Raw genomic sequence first — 18,567 nt, 5'->3', positions numbered from 1 at the left:
ATAATAATACACATCTGATTATGCTTTTATGAATATACAGAACATTAAATTTCAAAAGGCTTTGCTTGAGTCCCAAATGCAATTTCTAAAACATTAACTAGCCTACTCAGAATCAGGTAGAAATGGTGCAAATGAGCTCTTTTTATCACAGGCATTATTTCTTGAATAAACTCTCTTTTGTTTCCTAAACTTCAAAAAAACTGTAATTTTATTTTCAACATTCATGAAGGATAAGTCAAATCCTGTCAGTGAGTGAGTCCAACGGTTTCCATGAAAGGAGGATGTGGTCACTTTCATGAAGAAGCCAACTGAGGAAGGCTTTTTCTTGGTTCAATCATTTGATGTAATGATTCAGATGAAAGCACGTAAGTTAGCCTTTCTTTATACCTGCTTCATAAAGTTTGAGACTGCTAAATTACCAAGATAGGACAGTAACATAAGATTATCTTCTTCATAGCATACATCACTATTTAAAATTATTTTATATATTTACTTATCTGTTATTTTCTGTCTTGCCCACTAGGATATATTGTCCATGAGATCTTGTCCTGTGAAGTCTTTCCTGGCACATAGTAAGTGCTCAATAATTGTTGCATAAAGGTGAATAAACCAATAAATGAAAGAACTTTTGCACATATTTGTATGTTACTTGTAACACATTTTGTAATTTGTCTGTTAATACTGCCTTCTCCCTTTTCTCTGACATCTTTGCAAAGGAAGTTATCTAGGGCAAAATAAATTGCAATATAAACTGTCATTAATTTGCACTAAGTCCTGTAAAACCTGTTTGCTTTTTTGTGTTTGGTCCATCAGCCAGCAGATCTTTTTTTTAATTTTATTTTTTATTTTATTTTATTTTTTTTTTTGAGACGGAGTCTCGCTCTGTCGCCCAGGCTGGAGTGCAGTGGCCGGATCTCGATCTCGGCTCACTGCAAGCTCCGCCTCCCGGGTTCACGCCATTCTCCTGCCTCAGCCTCCCAAGTAGCTGGGACTACAGGCGCCCGCCACTACGCCCGGCTAATTTTTTGTATTTTTAGTAGAGACGGGGTTTCACCGTTTTAGCCGGGATGGTCTCAATTTCCTGACCTCGTGATCCGCCCGCCTCGGCCTCCCAAAGTGCTGGGATTACAGGCGTGAGCCACCGCGCCCGGCCCAGCCAGCAGATCTTAATGAAGAGAGCTAATTGCAGAGTTTTCTAATAACGGGTTTTTACCGTATAGTCAGACTCAGCCCCTTTTCCATGTTACATTTTCTGCTGAATATCTACATTACTGCCTTTAATAGGCAGTGCAAAGCCTTAATGAGATGATTTATTTTGAAGTGAGTTTTAAAAATTCCTGGGTATTTAGACTCTGGCTTATTTTTTGCCACCTAATTGGTAGGAGTGAGTAGACAGGTATTGCTAATGGTACTTTAAATGACTATCAGGATCTGAAGGATGAATTGTATTAATTATTCAAATTGGAAATATTTCTTTGAGATTTTAAAAATCATATTGAAAGTCAATGGTAGATTGAATCAATACGCAAATTTACTTTACATATTTTTCAGTTCAAGTCTAATAAATAATGTCCAACTCTTTTGGCATTGTGTACATTTATAGAGACATGTCAATGTCTTCATGTCTTTTATTATTACTTATTAAAGTAAAGCTGATGGTGATATCAAAATGTCACCTATGTTTGTTTGTTTTTTTCTCTTGGTATACATTTGAAGCCTTTCTGGCCAACATCCCTCAATGTACCTATTTAACCTTCCAGGTATTGCTCAGTCAGTTACAAATATCTGGCCTTTCTTTTCAGGCTTTATATTCTAAAATACTTTTCTAGTGAGAAGCAAAAAAAAAAAAGAACAAAAAACCTCACTAATTCACTGTGGTATTTAGTTGGCATAGAACAAACAACCAAATTACCTGGCATGTGGCAGCTGGTTTATAAAAATGTAAAGTAGGTACTAGACATCATTTGAAAGTTTAGGCACATATAAATTTTGTCTTTAGATTACACAATATTTTTCCATAGGTATATGGTATATACTGAACTTATTCACATGATTTATTCCTTGCTATAATACTTTTCATCTAATTTGGCTAACTGGAGGAGGAGAGTGCCTACTGTGAATGCCTACTGTGTTCTGTGTTCTAGGCTAGAAACTTTGCATTCATTATTGAACACTCATATCAACTTTATGTGAAGGCAGCATTATTTACTGAAGAAATTAAGGCTCAGGGAATTTCAATTTCTCCATATTCCATACTGAGTAGTCAAGCTGGGATTGCTAGTCTGCTATTTGTCTGATTCTAAAGTCAGTGTTCTTTTTTAACACAGTCAATTGGAAAAACTCTCATTAACACAGAGATTTTTCTCTCCATCTTTTAAAGTTTTTACTCCACCACTGCTCACTATGAACTTATTATATTGGAGTGGATGCAAAATAAAGTGCCAGAAATGACTTGTAGAACATGGTCTCCTTGCTTTCCTCCTTATAATGAATAAGTGATGGGATTAAATGGATTCGGTACTTTTGGGCCCAGAGGAAGTATCTGGGAATTTGTTAAGAAATAAACAGAAAGTAGAGAGTGATGTCAGTAAAGTGATAGACTAGGAAGCCCCAGGCTTCATTCACTCACAGATAAACTGACTTGACAACAATAAGCCTTTATGAGAACTCCAGAAAGTAGTTAAGAAATCATTGCACCTCAGGCAAGCTCAAAGCCAAGAACAGCCACATTATAATGAGTAAGAAAGGTTATTTTATTTCAACCTTAGTAGCTCCTCCAAGCTGGCACAACACAGCAAAATTAGGAGAAAAAGGCCAGCTCATGCCTTTTCCTTTGAGAGGGAAAGAGAAGAGTAGAACATATGTTTAATGTTCTAGCTTTTCAGGGGGCTGCTCAGGGACTGGTTTCCCTCTCACCTGGCTTGAAGCAGTGATGAGGAACCAGTATAGTATGGATGTCTTGGGACTGCTGAGAAGAAAAGGTTGCTCAGCAGTTTGATGCGGCCCCAGAGAACCTTATCACCATGAAAGAGCTGGTACAGCTTGGAGTGACTGGGAGAAAATGCCCAGCTCATGACTACTCGTTTGGAAGAAAAAGAGAAGAGTGGAACATGCATCCAGCAATTCAGTGTATTTTTTTTTTTTTTTTTTTTTTTTTTGGTCAGGGGGCTGCCCTACAAACAGAGTTCTGTCTTACCTGACTTGGAGCATTGACAGAACCTGCATGCTTTGGATGCCTATGGTCACAGAAAACAATAGGGTATTCAGCAGCTTGCATATTACATCAGAGAATTTCTAGTACTGCAGACAGACATCAGTGTCAGCAAGAGATTAGAAGCTCCTGAAAAAGAAACTGCAAATCTCTCTAACTGGGAAATCAGATACATAAGCTCAGAAAAGATGTATCCCCAGAAAAGATTTTGGAGGACCCCAGAATCTCTAACCAGGCCGATTGGTGAAGCTCTTCCCTTGTATGAAGGCAGTTTATGAAGATTGGAAGAGGTGGCTGTATATTTAAATGCACACATCACAGCAAAAAATAACAAGACACATGGAAAAACATAGAAACATGACTCAATCAAAGGAATAAAATAAACTTCCAGAAAAAATAATCCTAAAAATGGATATCTGTGAATTACTTGACAAAGAATTCAAAATAATCACCTTAAAGAAGCTCAATGCATTACAAGAGAACACAGAAATATAACTAAACAAAGAGGAAGGCTGGGCACGGTGGCTTACACCTGTAATCCCATCACTTTGGGAGACTGAAGTGGGTGGATCACCTGAGGTCAGGAGTTCGAGATCAGCCTGACCAACATGATGAAACCCCGTCTCTACTAAAAATACAAAAATTAGCTGGGCGTGGTGGCAGGTGCCTGTAGTCCTCGCTACTCAAGAGACTGAGGCAGGGAAATAGCTTGAACTCAGGAGGTGGAGGTTGGAGGTTGCAGTGAGCCAAGATCACGCCATTACATTCCAGCCTAGGCAACAAGAGCAAAACTCCATCTAAAAAAAAAAAAAAAACAAAAAAACAAAAAAACAGCCAGGCATGGTGGCTCACACGTGTAATCCCAGAACTTTGGGAGGCCGAGGCAGGTGGATCATGAGGTCAGGAGATCGAGACCATCCTGGCTAACATGGTGAAACCCTGTCTCTACTAAAAAATACAAAAAATTAGCTGGACGTGGTGGCAGGCACCTGTAGTCCCAGCTACTCAGGAGGCTGAGGCAGGAGAATGGCGTGAACTCAGGAGGCGGAGTTTTCAGTGAGCCAAGATCATGCCACTGCATTCCAGCCTGGGCGACAGAGCCAGACTCCATCTCAAAATAACAAAAAACAAACAAACAAAAAGAACAAATGGAAAACAATGCACAAACTAATGTAGAATATCAACAGAGACAGAAACCAGAATAAAGGCCAAACAGAAGTTATGGAGCTGAATAATGCAATAACAGAATTGAAATATTCACTATAAGCATTTAACAGCAGATGTGATCAATCAGAAGAAGGAATCAGTGAACTCAAAGAAAGGTCATTTGAAGTTATTGAATTAGAGGATCAAATAGAAAAGAGAATGATGGAAAATAAAGAAAGTCTGTGGGATTTATGTGGTACCACTGAGTGGACCAATACAGGCATTATGAGAGTTCCAGAAGGAGAAGGGAGCAAGAAAGGGAAGAGAGTTTATTTGAAGAAATAATGGCTTAAAACCACTCAACTGAGAAAGAAAATGGATATCCAAATTCAGGAATCACAAAAGACTCCAATTAAGTTGAACTCAGAGTCTCACACCAAGACACACAATAACCAACTGGTCAAAAGCAAAAGTCAAAGAGAGATTCTTGAAAACATCAAGAGAAAACAGACTCATCATGTACAAGGGAGTTTCCATAAGATTATCAGTGGATTTCTCACCAGAAACATTACAGGTCAGAAGGGAGTGGGATGATATATTCAAAGTATTGAAAGAAAAAAAAATCTTGCCTAGCAAAAATACTACATCTTGTAAAACTGTCCTTCAAAAATAAACAGACCTTCCCAAATAAACAAAAGCTGAGGGACTTCATCACCACTAGATTAGGCTTAGAAGAATAGCTAAAGGGAGTTTCAAAATGAAATGAAAAGATTAGCTAGCAACATGAAATCATATGAAAATATAAAGCTCTTTGCTGAAGGTAAATATTTAAGCAAACACAGAATCCTCTAATACTATGATGGTGGTGCATAAATAATTTTTAATTCTAGTGTAGTTAAAAATATAAAAGCATGAAAATAACTAAACTATAAATCTATATACATTGATACATAAAGTTAAAAATGTAATTGATAGCACCAAGAACATAAAGTGTGTGTAGGGTAACATGTAAAGAAGTAAAGTTTTGTGTGTGATTGAAGTTAAGTTCATAATTATAAGTTCATGTAAGTTCATCAAGTTCACTATAAGATGTTTAATGTAATCTCTATGGTAACTACAAATAAAATATCTTAAAAAGATGTACAAAAATGAGATAGAAATACAAACATGTCACTGAAAAAAATCACAAGAGAAGACAGCAGGAGATTGTAAAATTTCTTTCCTATCAGTAATTACTTTAAATGTAATTGAATTAAACACTCCAATCAAAAGACACAGAATGGCTGAATGGATTGAAAAAGAAACAAGATCCAACCGTATGCTGTCTACAAAAGACTCACTTTAGCTCTAAGGACACACACAGAATGAATGTGAAAAAATGGAAATAGATATTCCATACAAATGGTAACCAAAAGAGAGCAGAGGTTGTGATGCTTATATCAGATGAAATAGACTATAATTCTAAAACTTTTCACAAGGGACAAGGAAAAACAATACATGACAACAGGATCAATAAAATAAGATACAATTATAAATATTCACCTAACATCAGAACACAGACATATATGAAGCAAACAATGGTAGAATTGAATAGACAGGAACACAATAATATTAGAAGATTTCAATACCTTATTTTCGATAATGAATATATCAACCAGACAGAGGATTAATATGAACACAGAGGACTTGAACAACACTATAGACCAATTAGACCTAACAGACACCTGCGGAACACTCCACACAACAGCAGACCATACATTCTTCTCAAGTGCACATAGAACATATTCCATGTCCATGGAACAAATTTAAGGATATTGAAATCAGACCAAGCAAGTATCTTTTCTGACAACAATGGAATGGAATGAAACTAGAAATAAACAGCAGAAGGAAAATCGAAAAATTCAAAATTAGGTGGAAATTAAACAACACACTCTTTTTTTTTGAGACAAAGTCTCGCTCTGTCACCCAGGCTGGAGTGCAGTGGCGCAATCTCGGCTCACTGCAAGCTCCGCCTCCCAGGTTCACACCATTCTCCTGCCTCAGCCTCCCGAGTTGCTGGGACTACAGGCGCCTGCCACCACGTCCCACTAATTTTTTGTATTTTCAGTAGAGACGGGATTTCACCATGTTAGCCAGGATGGTCTCGATCTCCTGACCTCATGATCCACCCGCCTCAGCCTCCCAAAGTGCTGGGATTACAGGCGTGAGCTACCGCGCCCAGCCAAACAACACACTCTTAAACAACTGAAGTCAAAGGAGAAGTCACAAGGGAAATTATAAAATTATCCTGAGGATAATGAAAATAAATGCACAACATATCAAAACTTATGGGATGCAACAAAAGCAGTACTAAGAGGAAAGTTTATAACGACAGATGCTTACATTAAAGAAGAAAGATCTCCAGTTAACAACCTAGCTTTACACCTCAAGGACCTATAAAAAAGAAAAAAATTGGCCAGGCACTGTGGCTCATGCCTGTAATCCCAGCACTTTGGGAGGCCGAGGTGGGTGGATCACAAGGTCAAGAAATCGAGACCACCCTGGCTAACACGATGAAACTCCGTCTCTACTAAAAATACAAAAAAATTAGCCAGGCGTGGTGGCGGGTGCCTGTAGTCCCAGCTACTCAGGAGGCTGAGGCAGGAGAATGACGTGAACCCGGCAGGCAGACCTTGTAGTGAGCCGAGATTGTGCCACTGCACTCCAGCCTGGGCGACAGAGTGAGACTCTGTCTCCAAAAAAAAAGAAAAAGAAAAAAAGAAAATCTAAAGCTAGCAGAAGAATGAACATAATAAAAATTAGGGCAGAACTAAATAAAATATAAAATAGAGAACGGAAAAATAATAGAAAAAAACTTTTAAATGCGTTTTTTTAAAAATCCACAAAATTGACAAACCCTTAGCTAGACTAAGAAAAAAGAGAGAAAACACAAATAACAAAGATCAGAAATGAAAGGGAAAACATTACAACTGATACTACAGAAATAAAAAGAATCATAAGAAATTACTATGAACACTTGGGCTGGGTGCGGTAGCTCACTCCTGTAATCCCAGCATTTTGGGAGGCTGAGGCAGGAGGATCACGAGGTCAGGAGATCAAGACCATCCTGGCTAACACAGTGAAACCTCGTCTCTACTAAAAATACAAAAAATTAGCCAGGAGTCGTGGCGGGCGCCTGTAGTCCCAGCTACTCAGCAGGCTGAGGCAGGAGAATGGCGTGCACCCGGGAGGCAGAGCTTGCAGTGAGCCGAGATCGCACCACTGCAGTCCAGCCTGGGTGACAGAGCGAGACTCCTTCCCAAAAAAAAGAAAAAGGAAAAAGAAATTACTATGAACACTTATGGGCAAAAAATTGAATAATATATAAGAAATGGAAAATTTCTAGAAAAATACAGCCTGTCAAGACTGACAATCTGACCAGACCTGTAACAAATAAGGAGAATGAAGCAGTATTCAAAAATCTTTCAATAAAGAAAATACCAGGGCCTGATAGCTTCACTGGAGAATTTTACCAAATATTTAAAGAATTTTTAATCTTTCTCAAATTCTTCCAAAAAGTTGAAAGGAAGGGAATATTTCTGATTCGTTTTATGAGGCCAACATTATCCTGATATCAAAATCAGAGAAAGATACAAGGAAAGAAAACTACAAGCCAATATCTCTGATGAGTATTAATGGAAAAATACTTAAAAAAATACTAGCAAGCCAAATTCAACTATATGTTAAAAGGATAATATGTGATGGCCAAATGGGATTTATTTCTGGAATGCAAGGATAATTTGCATATGAAAATCAATTAATGTAAGATATCACATTAACAACATTAAGGACAAAAAATATATGATCATCTCAATTGGTACAGAAAAAGAATTTAACATAATTAAACACACTTGCATCATAAAACACTCAACAAACTAGAAAGAGAAAGAAATTATTTTAACATAGTAAAGGCCATATATGACAAGCCTACAGCTAATATTATATTCAGTAGTGAAAAACTGAATTCTTTCCCTTCTAAGATCAGGAGCCAGGCAAGAATGCCCACTGTTTAAAAAATTTTATAGATTTTTATTTTTTAAAAAGATTATTTATTTTTCAATTGACAAAAATTATATATATTCATGGTGTACAACACAATGTTTTGAAAAATATACTGATTGTGGAATGGCTAAATCAAACTAATTAACATGTGCATTACCTCAAAAACTTATTTTTGGTGATGAGAACACTTAAAATTTACTTTCTTAGCAATTTTCAAGTATACAATACATTGTTATTAACTATACTCACCATGTTGTACAATATATCTCCTGTTTAACTGAAAAAAAATGGGATAACATCAAAATAAAATGCTTCTGCACAGTGAAAGAAACAATCAGAGAGAGAAGAGGCACCCTATAGAATGGGAGAAAATATTTGCAAACCATGAAGATAAGAGGTTAATAAACAGAGTATATAAAAAGCACACAATTTAATAGCCAGAAAACAAATAACCCAATTAAAAAATAGGAGCAAAGGACTGGCCGGGCGTGGCGGCTCACGTCTGTAATCCCAGAACTTTGGGAGGCCGAGGAGGGCGGATCCCGATGTCAGGAGATTGAGACCATCTGGCTAACACGATGAAACCCCGTCTCTACTAAAAATACAAAAAATTAGCCGGGCATGGTGGCGGGCGCCTGTAGTCCCAGCTACTCAGGAGCCTGAGGCAGGAGAATGGCGTGAACCTGGGAGGCGGAGCTTGCAGTGAGCCAAGATTGCGCCACTGCACTCCAGCCTGGGCAACAGAGCAAGACTCCAAAAAAAAATCTCTCTCTATATATATATAGATATATGTATATATCTATATCAATATCTATATCTATATATGTAGGAGCAAAGACCTAAACAGACATTTCTCAAAAAAAGACATATAAATGGCCTACAGGTATTTGAAAAAATCCTCAACATCACCCTAACCATTAATGAAATGCAAATTAAAACTACATTGAGATACCACCTCACATCAATTAGAATGGCTATTATCAAAAAGATAAAAGGTAAGTGTTGGTGAGGATGCGGAAAAAAAGAATTCTGTTACATTGGTGAGAATTTTAGTACAGAAATTATGGAGACCAGTATGAAGAATTCTCAAAAAATTAAAAATAGAAATACCATATAATTCAGCAGTCCCACTTTTTGGTATATAGCCAAAGGAACTGAAATCAGGATCTCAAAAAGGTATGTGCACACCCATGTTCAGTGCAGCATGTTATTCACAATAGCCACGGTCTGGAATCAACCTAAGTGTCCATCATCAAATGACAGAATAAAGCAAATGTAACATATATACACAATGGGAATAGTAATTTAGTCTTGAAAAAAGAAGCAAATTCTGTCCAGTCAGGAAATCCTGTCATCTGGGATAATCTGGAGTACATTATACTAAGTGAAATAAGCCAGACACAGAAAGACAAACACCACATGATCTCACTTATATCTGGAACTTAAAAATGTCAAACTCATAGAGATAGAGAATAGAATGGTGGTTGCCAGGGATGGGGGCTGCAGGGATTGGGCAGATATTTGTCATATGATGCCCATTCTTGCCACTTCTATTCAACATAGTGTGGGAAGTCCTGTAAAGACCTAAATGTAAGACCCGAAAATACAAACCTTCTAAGAGAAAACACAGGGGAAAAACTTTATGGCATTGAACTTGGATATGATTTTATGGTAATTATACCAAAAGCACAGGCAACAAAAGCAAAAATAGACAAATTGGACCATATCAAACTTAAAAATGTTCTGCATGTCAAAGGAAACAATCAACATAGTGAAAAGGTAACCTATGGAATGAGATAAAATGTTCGCAAACCATACATCTGTTAAGGGGTTAATAGCCAGAATATATAAAGAACTCCTACAATTCAACAACAAACAAAGAAGCAACCCAATTAAACAATGGGCAAAGAACTTGAATAAACATTTCTCAAAAAAGACATACAAAGAGCCAACAACCATATGAAAAGATGTTCAGCATTACTAACCATTCTGGAAGTGCAGGTGAATACTGCAATGAGATATCACCTCACACCTGTTAGGATGGCTACCATCAGGAAAATAGAAAATAACAACTATTGACAAGGTTGTGAAGAAATTGGAACCCTTTTGTACTGTTAACAGGAATGTAACATGGTGTGGTCACTATGGGAAGCAGTATGATGGAGAATTTTCATAACTTTCAGCAGTTCACTTCTGAGTATACATTTTAAAGAATTGAAAATATTATCTGAAAGAGGTATTTGCTCACCCATATTCATTGCAGCATTATTCCCAGTAGCCAAAAGGTGGAAGGAACCTAAATGCCCATTGATTAAGAAAATGTGGTATAAACATACAATGGAAAATTATTTAATCTTAAAAAAGAAAGAAATTCTTAAACACATGACAACATGAATGAACAAACCTTGAGGACAGACATTATGCTAAGTGAAATAAACCAGTCACAAAAAAGGCAAATACTGCATGATTCCACCTCTATGAGGTATCTAAATCAGTCAAACTTTTAGAAACAAAAAGTGGATCGGTGATTGCTGGGTGGAGAGGGAAAAGGGGGTTGTTTCGTAGGTACATAGTTTCAGTTTTACAAGAAATGAAAAGGTTCTGGAGAGTAACTGCACAACAACATACATTAGTAGTTAAGACTACTGTACTATACATTTAAAAATCATTAAGACGATAAACTTTGTCATGTGTTTTTCAATAAAAAAATAAACAGAAGGTTACAGCATCATCTGTAAACTACAAGATCATCAGCATATGTTATGTGTTGAATTTTGCCCTCCAAAGTGTTTGAAGTCCTAACCCTCATGATGTGTAAATATGACTTTCTTCGGAAATAGGATCTGTGCAGATGATCAAGTTAAGATGAGGTCATCAGAGTGATCTCTAATCCAATATGACTGTGTCCTCATAAGAAGGGGAAATCTGGGCCCAGAGACAGACATATATAGAGGGAATACAATGTGAAGAGATAGAGGAAAAACCATCTACAAGCCAAACAATGCCAAAGGCTGGGGGAGAGGCATGGAGTGGATTCTCCCTCAAAGCCTTCAGAAGGAACCAGCCCTCCGGCACTTTGAACTTCTGGTATCCAGCATTGTGAGGAAATACAGTTTTGTTATTAAGCCACCCATTTTGTGGTACTTTGTTAGTGAAGCCCCAGGAAACCAATACATCATGGGTTGGGGTTATCGGGCTTTAATAAATTACAGCCTCTTTCTTCAACGCCTGAGTTTGCAACCAAACAGCATAAGCCCAAACATGCTACAGACCACATCTTAGATAGAGGGTTAAACAACTACACATCTTCCCCTTTAACTCCATTGTTGAGCATTCCTCACTGGGTCTCTTCATAATACTTTTCTTGTAGAGTATATCTATACGACTTTTTACCAGTTTTTAAACAGGTATGAAACAAAGTTAAGCTTTTGCCTCAGGAACTGTGCTAATCTTACCCAAAGCTTTTAGAGCATTTTTAGAAATGAGAGTGTTTAAGGTAGATTGAATTACCATTTCTTTTGGTGGCAGTAGAAGCTTGCCATTTAATTGAGAAACTATATCTTAAATCACAAGTAAAGAAATTTGTGGCTTCCACTCTAGAGAAAAACTCCAGAGAAGAGCATAAATTATGAGCTAAAAGCTGGTATCGTTTAGAGAAGGCTCCAAAGATGTTTTATGGTAACACCAATCTGAGGAAGGAAGCTCTACTCTTGCCTGTGATAATTTACTTTTGTCTGATTTCATGAATCATCTCTTATGGAATGTGATTGGAAAATATATTTACATTACTATATTTGAAAAATGTGAGTCTACAAACTTAGTTCTCTCTAACCAGTTTCTTCATTGTTGCCAAAGACCCCGTGCAGAGCAATCACACAGAAAAAGGCTGTTTGGATTCACCAGTGCAGCCGCTGTGGAGGGGCCTTTCATTGGCACTGAAAATGCTTGTTTGGTGATGAATAACCTTTGTTATTATTATACTGCATGTTATTAAAATTTTTAACGTAATTCCCTCTAAACTAATAGTAATTCAGACAATGCAGCCACTGGCAGACAGCTTCATTAGTCAATCTTCTTTCTTATAAATGGGAGAATTAAGAACTGCTATTACTGTCATTCTGTCTGCTGCTCATTATTGTTGTAGACTTATGCACGAGACTAATCATATTCTCGTTGAATGCATCATGCTTAGCTCTTGAACGTGTGTGACAGTGACAAGAGCCCACCGAGTGACAGGGCAGGGTTGGTGGAATTCTGTGTCTCCATATGCACATGCATGTGCATTCCTTCTTACACTCAGGCACACATAGGCTATTTTCCAGGGTTTTATTTTATTAATTCCTTAGGAATCTCAGAAAGTGAACTTCAGAGGCTGGGCACGGTGGCTCATGCCTGTAATCCCAGTACTTGGGAGGCCGAGGTGGGCAGATGGCCTGAAGTCAGGTGTTTGAGACCAGTCTGGCCAACATGGTGAAACCCCGTCTCTACTAAAAATACAAAAAAAAAAATTAGCCAGCCATCGTGGTGGGTGCCTGTAATCCCAGCTACTCAGGAAGTTGAGGCAGGAGAATTGCTTGAACCAGGGAGGTGGAGGTTGCAGTGAGCCAAGATCGCACCACTGCACTCAAAAAAAAAAAAAAAATGAACTTGAGAAAGCAAGATGGTACCCTCTGAGGCTTTCCCCATACAGTGTACATGTGTCCTCTCCAAGGAAAAATACTCCAAGGACAAAAACAATACAATAGGATTGTTTTTTGTGAGTATAAACATCTGATTTCTCTGTAGAGAGAGAAACAAAACATTTAGAAATCATCAAAATGTTTTGAGGCCTCTAAGGTACTTTCTGTGACTTCACAAAGACTATTATTGAATTCACTTTAAACAAAGCATTAAAAAATAATAATGTTTGCTCTTTCTCCAAAGGGAGACAAAGATAATTTTTATGGAGGAACCCTTTTCCCCATTGGATTACTAGACTATATCCTCAGTAAAAAAATGAAAAGTGTCCCCACCTGGTTGATGGTTAAACAAATGAAGATTAAGAGAGAACTAAAATGTCTAGAAGCATTTAACACTGTGAAATTCTATGATAGATGCTTGGATATTTGGAGAATGGAAACATTATATAAAATATGTGTATAGGTTGGGCGTGGTGGCTTACACCTGTAATCCCAGCACTTTGAGAGGCTGAGGCAGGAGGATCACTTGAACCCAGGAGTTTGAGACCAGCCTGGGCAGCATAGCAAGACCCCCATATCCACAAAAACTAAAAAAAAAAAAAAAAATAACTGGATGTGGTTGTGCATGCCTGTAGTTCCAGCTCTGTGGGAGGCTGAGGTGGGAGGATCACTTGAGCCTGGAAGGTTGAGGTTGCTGTAAGCAGTGATCACACTACTGTACTTCAGGCTGGGGGACAGTGTGAGACCCTGTCTCGAACAAAAAAAAAAGTTTGCTCAAGAAATATTCAGCAGCCCTCTGTTTCCCAAAGGGAAGAAACTCCTTAGAGCTGTGTTTACTGAGTGTGGTACATGGTACACTTCTCTTAGGATACAGATTTCTGGCTTGTCCCGGAAAACCAGAGTGTGGTGACTGTGGGAGGGCCCCAGGTCATTCTTATGTGCCAACATCTGAAAGCCACCATCTCAGAGACCAAGTCGTCCACTATGTGGCCCCAAGTCATCTTTCCAATTTATCTGAAAGTCTTGCCACAGGGGTCCTCAACTTTGGTGTATATCACAATTACATGGCCTCCACCTCCAGAGATTTGAACTCAGTAATTCTTGGGTAAATCCATGAAATGTGGGTTTTGATTAAATTAAATGATGGATCTGTAGATAATTCTGTTGTACACAGAGTTTGAGAATCACCCTGCTTGCCTAACAGTCAGCAGATATGAGTTCTGCACTCTGGCCTTGGCTCTGCCCCTTGCCTGCCTGGTTCTGGACATATCACTGAACTGCTCAGAGTTGTTCATTCTTTCCTGTATAAGAGCAGCATGGGTGCACCTGCACTGGCTACCTCACAAGTTAGATGATGTATGGAAAACCACTTAGTTAGATGCAGGATGTGATGTATTTTAGGGTGTCCAAGTCACTGAGTATTATCTACAAGTTAGGCACTGTCTTCAGTACCAGAAATGAAATAAGAAGCCTGCATTCGGGAAGTTTATTATGACTCTGAAGGCCGTCAGAAGGTTGCTATTCCCTGGTAATGTTAATCTATTCTTGGTCTTGTAGGTTACGCATGCTGTTGCTGACTGTTGACACATACCATCGGCTAAGAGCAGTGGCTGGCTTTGAAACAGCTCCACCTTCCCTGAATACTCTTTCAGCATCTCTGACGTCTAGGCCAAGTTTGTGTACTTAGCTCCATGACAGCATCAAGATACAAACAACAAGAACTGATGGATTTCAGTACATCTTCTGGGGCTCCTGCCTGTGGGATACAGCTTGTCTTTGATGTCTTACCCTCTACATCCATGTCTCCTTCCTGTCTGTGCTGTGGACTTCAAACTCCAGCATCAGACATGAAGACAACATCCTGCAGAGATTGCTTTAAGCAGCTCCCACAGTTATAACAACATCATGGCCCTATAGCAAATATCATAAAAATTTTTCCACACCTATATTCACAAACATAAAATCTTTTATTGGTTCTGTTTCTCAGTTGAATCATGACTGATACAATATGAGAAGCAGTATATTATTATTTATAGGTAAGGTGTCATTAATTACAGATGCATGGGTCAGGCATAGTGGCTCATCCCTGTAATCCAAGCACTTTGAGATACCAAGGTAGGAGGATCCCTTGAGGCCAGGAATTTGAGACCAGCCTGGGTAACAAAGTGAGACTCTGTCTCTACGAAAAACAATTTTTTAAGGTGCATATTATAAACCTAGGGAACCACTAAAATATTTTTAAAAGAAGCATAAATGATAAAAAAACAAAAAATGGAGATTAAATGGAATCATTAAAAATAATTCAAAATCAGTTAGAAAAAGAACAAAGAACAAATATAACAAATAGAAACAAGATATGAGATAGTACATTAAAATCCAACTGTATCAGTAGCTGTATTTAATTTAAATGACCTAAACATACCAACTAAAACACAGAGATGATCAAATTAGATAAAAAAGCAAGAATCAACTATAATCTATCTATAATAAATTCACATTAAATATAAAAGTATACAGGTTAAAAGTAAAAGGATGAAAAATATACCATATATGCCATGCAAACAGTTGCTCTATTAGTATTAGATAACAGGAAATTCCAGAACAAAGAATATCTTCAGAAATAAAAAGCCACCACATATAGTGTAAAAGGGCCAATTCATCAAGAAGAAAAAGACTAAACGTGTATGCACCTAACAACAGAGCTTTAAAATGCATAAAGCAAAACTGATAGAACAGAAAGAAAAAATAGACAAACCTACACTTAGAGACTGCAGCATTCCTCTCTCAGTAATAGAACAGATGCACAGAAAATCAGTAAAATATGTAGACTAGAACTACATTGTTAAGCAACTTGACAAATTTGGTATTTATTGAATGCTCTATTCAGCAATAGCAGAATACACATTCTTTTCAAGGGCTCATGGGACATTTACCAAGATACTGGGACATAAAACAAACCTCAACAAATTTAAAAGGGTTGAAATCATATGAAGAATGTTCTGTTACTATAGTGGAATCAAACTGGAAATTAATAGCAGAAAGATGTCTGAAAAATCCTCCAAATATTTGGAAATGAAATGACTCACTTCTGTACAACCCATAGGCAAAAAAGAAAGTCACAAGGGAAATTAAAATATATTTTGAATGAAAATGAAACATCAAATACAAGAATTTGGGAGATGCAGGTAAAGCAGTGCATAGGGGGAAATTTATATCATTAAATGTTTATACTTGACAAGAAGAAAGTCCTCAAGTTAATGGTATAGTTTTACAGTAAAGACCTGGTGGGGGGCGGAGGGGGGGCGGGAAGGAACAAATAAAATACCATAGCAAAGAAAAAGGAATGCAATAATTAAGATCAGAAATGAATGACTTTGAAAAGAGCAACACAATAGAGAAAAATAAAATAAAAAAAACCGAGTTGATTCAGTGTGCCCCTATTACTTTCTAGTTAAACAAAAAGAAAACTTTTGTTTCAATAATTATACTTAAATGTTTATTGGATTTTTGGAGGGTGATTTTTTACGTACTTTAGGATGACAGATAAAAACACAAGCAGTGCCTAAGTAGGTTCATAATTTTAATTTCACTTACCTGTAATTTTACCAATGCTTACTTATCAATGTCTTTAAAGGTACAATTTTATGGAAAATTTTACCTACAGTCTGAACATATTTTCTGGTCTTTAAAATGAAGTTAGTATGCTGTATACCATCAGTATATAAACTTGAAACACTTATAGAACAAACATATCAGAGATCAATAAATCCTTTTGGGTCACTACAAACTACCCCATTGGCAGTGTATATTTATTTTGTCTGTTGAGTAACAAACAGGTAAGTTTTAGAGTTAACAAAAGATTAATAATACAAAACAGAGCTGTCTAGTAATAATTTTCAGAGCTAGAACACCCACATGTATTTATAAAGTCACATTTTTGGGGGATAACCGGAGGTAACCTCAGTGAAAAAAAGTTAATTCTGTTGTAAATTCAGTTCTGATAGTCCCACTTGATGACCTTTTGTCTTAAACAATTTCTAAGTTGGCTCATATCATAACTATGCCAAACCTCTTGAAAAGGCTCATTTTAAGGCTCTCTAACAGCATATTATTAACTGGCGAGTCTTCCAGAAGGCAGACATCCTAAGCTTAACATTAACTCTAGTCCAATGTTTTTGGTTGCCTGCGTATATTTTCTTTGGCGTTAAAAAAAAAAAAGTTGGCCTGGCGCAGTGGCTCACACCTGTAATCCCAACATTTTGGGAGGCTGACGGGGGCAGATCACTTAAGGTCAGGAATTCGAGACCAGCCTGGCCAATATGACAAAACCCCATCTCTATTAAAAATACAAAAATTAGTGGGGGGTGGTGACGTGGGCCTGTAATCCCAGCTACTCTGGAGGCTGAGGCAGAAGAATTGCTTGAACCCAGGAGGCAGAGTTTGCAGTAAGCTGAGATTACGCCACTGCACTCCAGCCTGGCGACAGAGCGAGACTCCGTCTTAAAAAAAAAAAGTTTTCACTCGATACTCTTCTTCTAGAGCTGGCAATACATTGGCTCAGTTGCAAACATGCTCATTATTCCCTTCATCTTACGTAGCCTTAGAAGAGAGCAGCTAGTGATATGCCATAAAACTGTAGACGTGATAGGTAGGAGCGGATATCACTTAGTCCAAGTCCTCTGGTCTCCAGGTAGGCAAGGTCCTTTGCAGATGCCCTGGTGTTAGCGGTGGTTCCCAGTCTCGGCAATGCATTAGTAACACCTGGGCTGCCTTTATAACGGCCAACCTATTATCCCCAGTGATTGATTTAATTGTTCTTGGGTTAAAATCATCCCTACATTTTTTTTTTTAGATGGACACTTACTCTGTTGCCCAGGCTGGAGTGCAGTGGCGCGATCTCAGCTCACTGCAACGCCCACGTCCCGGGTTCAAGTGATTCTCCTGTCTCGGCCTCCAGAGCAGGTGGGATTACAGGTGCCTGCCACCACGACCGGCTAATTTTTGTATTTTCAGTAGAGACGGGATTTCACCGTGTTGGCCAGACTCGTCTCAAACTCTGACTTCAGGCAATCCCCTCGCCTCAGCCTCCCAAAGTGCTGGTATTACAGGTGTGAGCCACTGCGCCTGGCCACCCCTACATTTTTTTAAAGCAGCCAAGGGAAATATTATATACCAAGGCTAAGGACCACTGAGCTGAAGTACTAAGTTTTCAGATGAGGAAACCCCAATCTCCTTTCTCACTCATGTGGGTTTACGGTATTAACTACATTTTAAATGTCAGAAGTTTAAAAAGCACAAAATAAATGTTACGAATAGAGTTAAAATAGGGCAGCAGTGATTCTGATTTGTGTTATATATATTGCAAGGTTTCACATCTTAAAAATGTGAACTTTAGTGGATGATTCAAAGCACATGTATTATTCTGTGTAAAGAACACTGTGTGTATTAACTCATCTTCAGTGGGTATTAACTTTGTGCTTTTTTAAAAAT

The 18,567-nt window shown here is 37.9% G+C and overlaps 1 long non-coding RNA gene across 1 annotated transcript in view; it reads left to right on the top strand.

Moving 5' to 3' along the window:
* LOC105379452 (uncharacterized) overlaps nt 1–16,867 on the top strand; it is a 70,033-nt gene extending 53,166 nt beyond the window's left edge. Inside the window, exons 4-5 of the long non-coding RNA XR_950692.3 lie at nt 524–572; nt 14,635–16,867. This is a non-coding gene — a long non-coding RNA (uncharacterized LOC105379452). The remainder of the gene's footprint in view (nt 1–523; nt 573–14,634) is intronic.
* The last annotated feature ends 1,700 nt before the right edge of the window (nt 16,868–18,567 follow it).

The sequence above is a fragment of the Homo sapiens genome, chromosome 9 (assembly GCF_000001405.40).
Source record: "Homo sapiens chromosome 9, GRCh38.p14 Primary Assembly".
NCBI lineage: Eukaryota > Metazoa > Chordata > Mammalia > Primates > Hominidae > Homo > Homo sapiens.
Note: the sequence above shows the minus strand (reverse complement) of the source record. Positions and strands in the feature narration are given on the sequence as shown.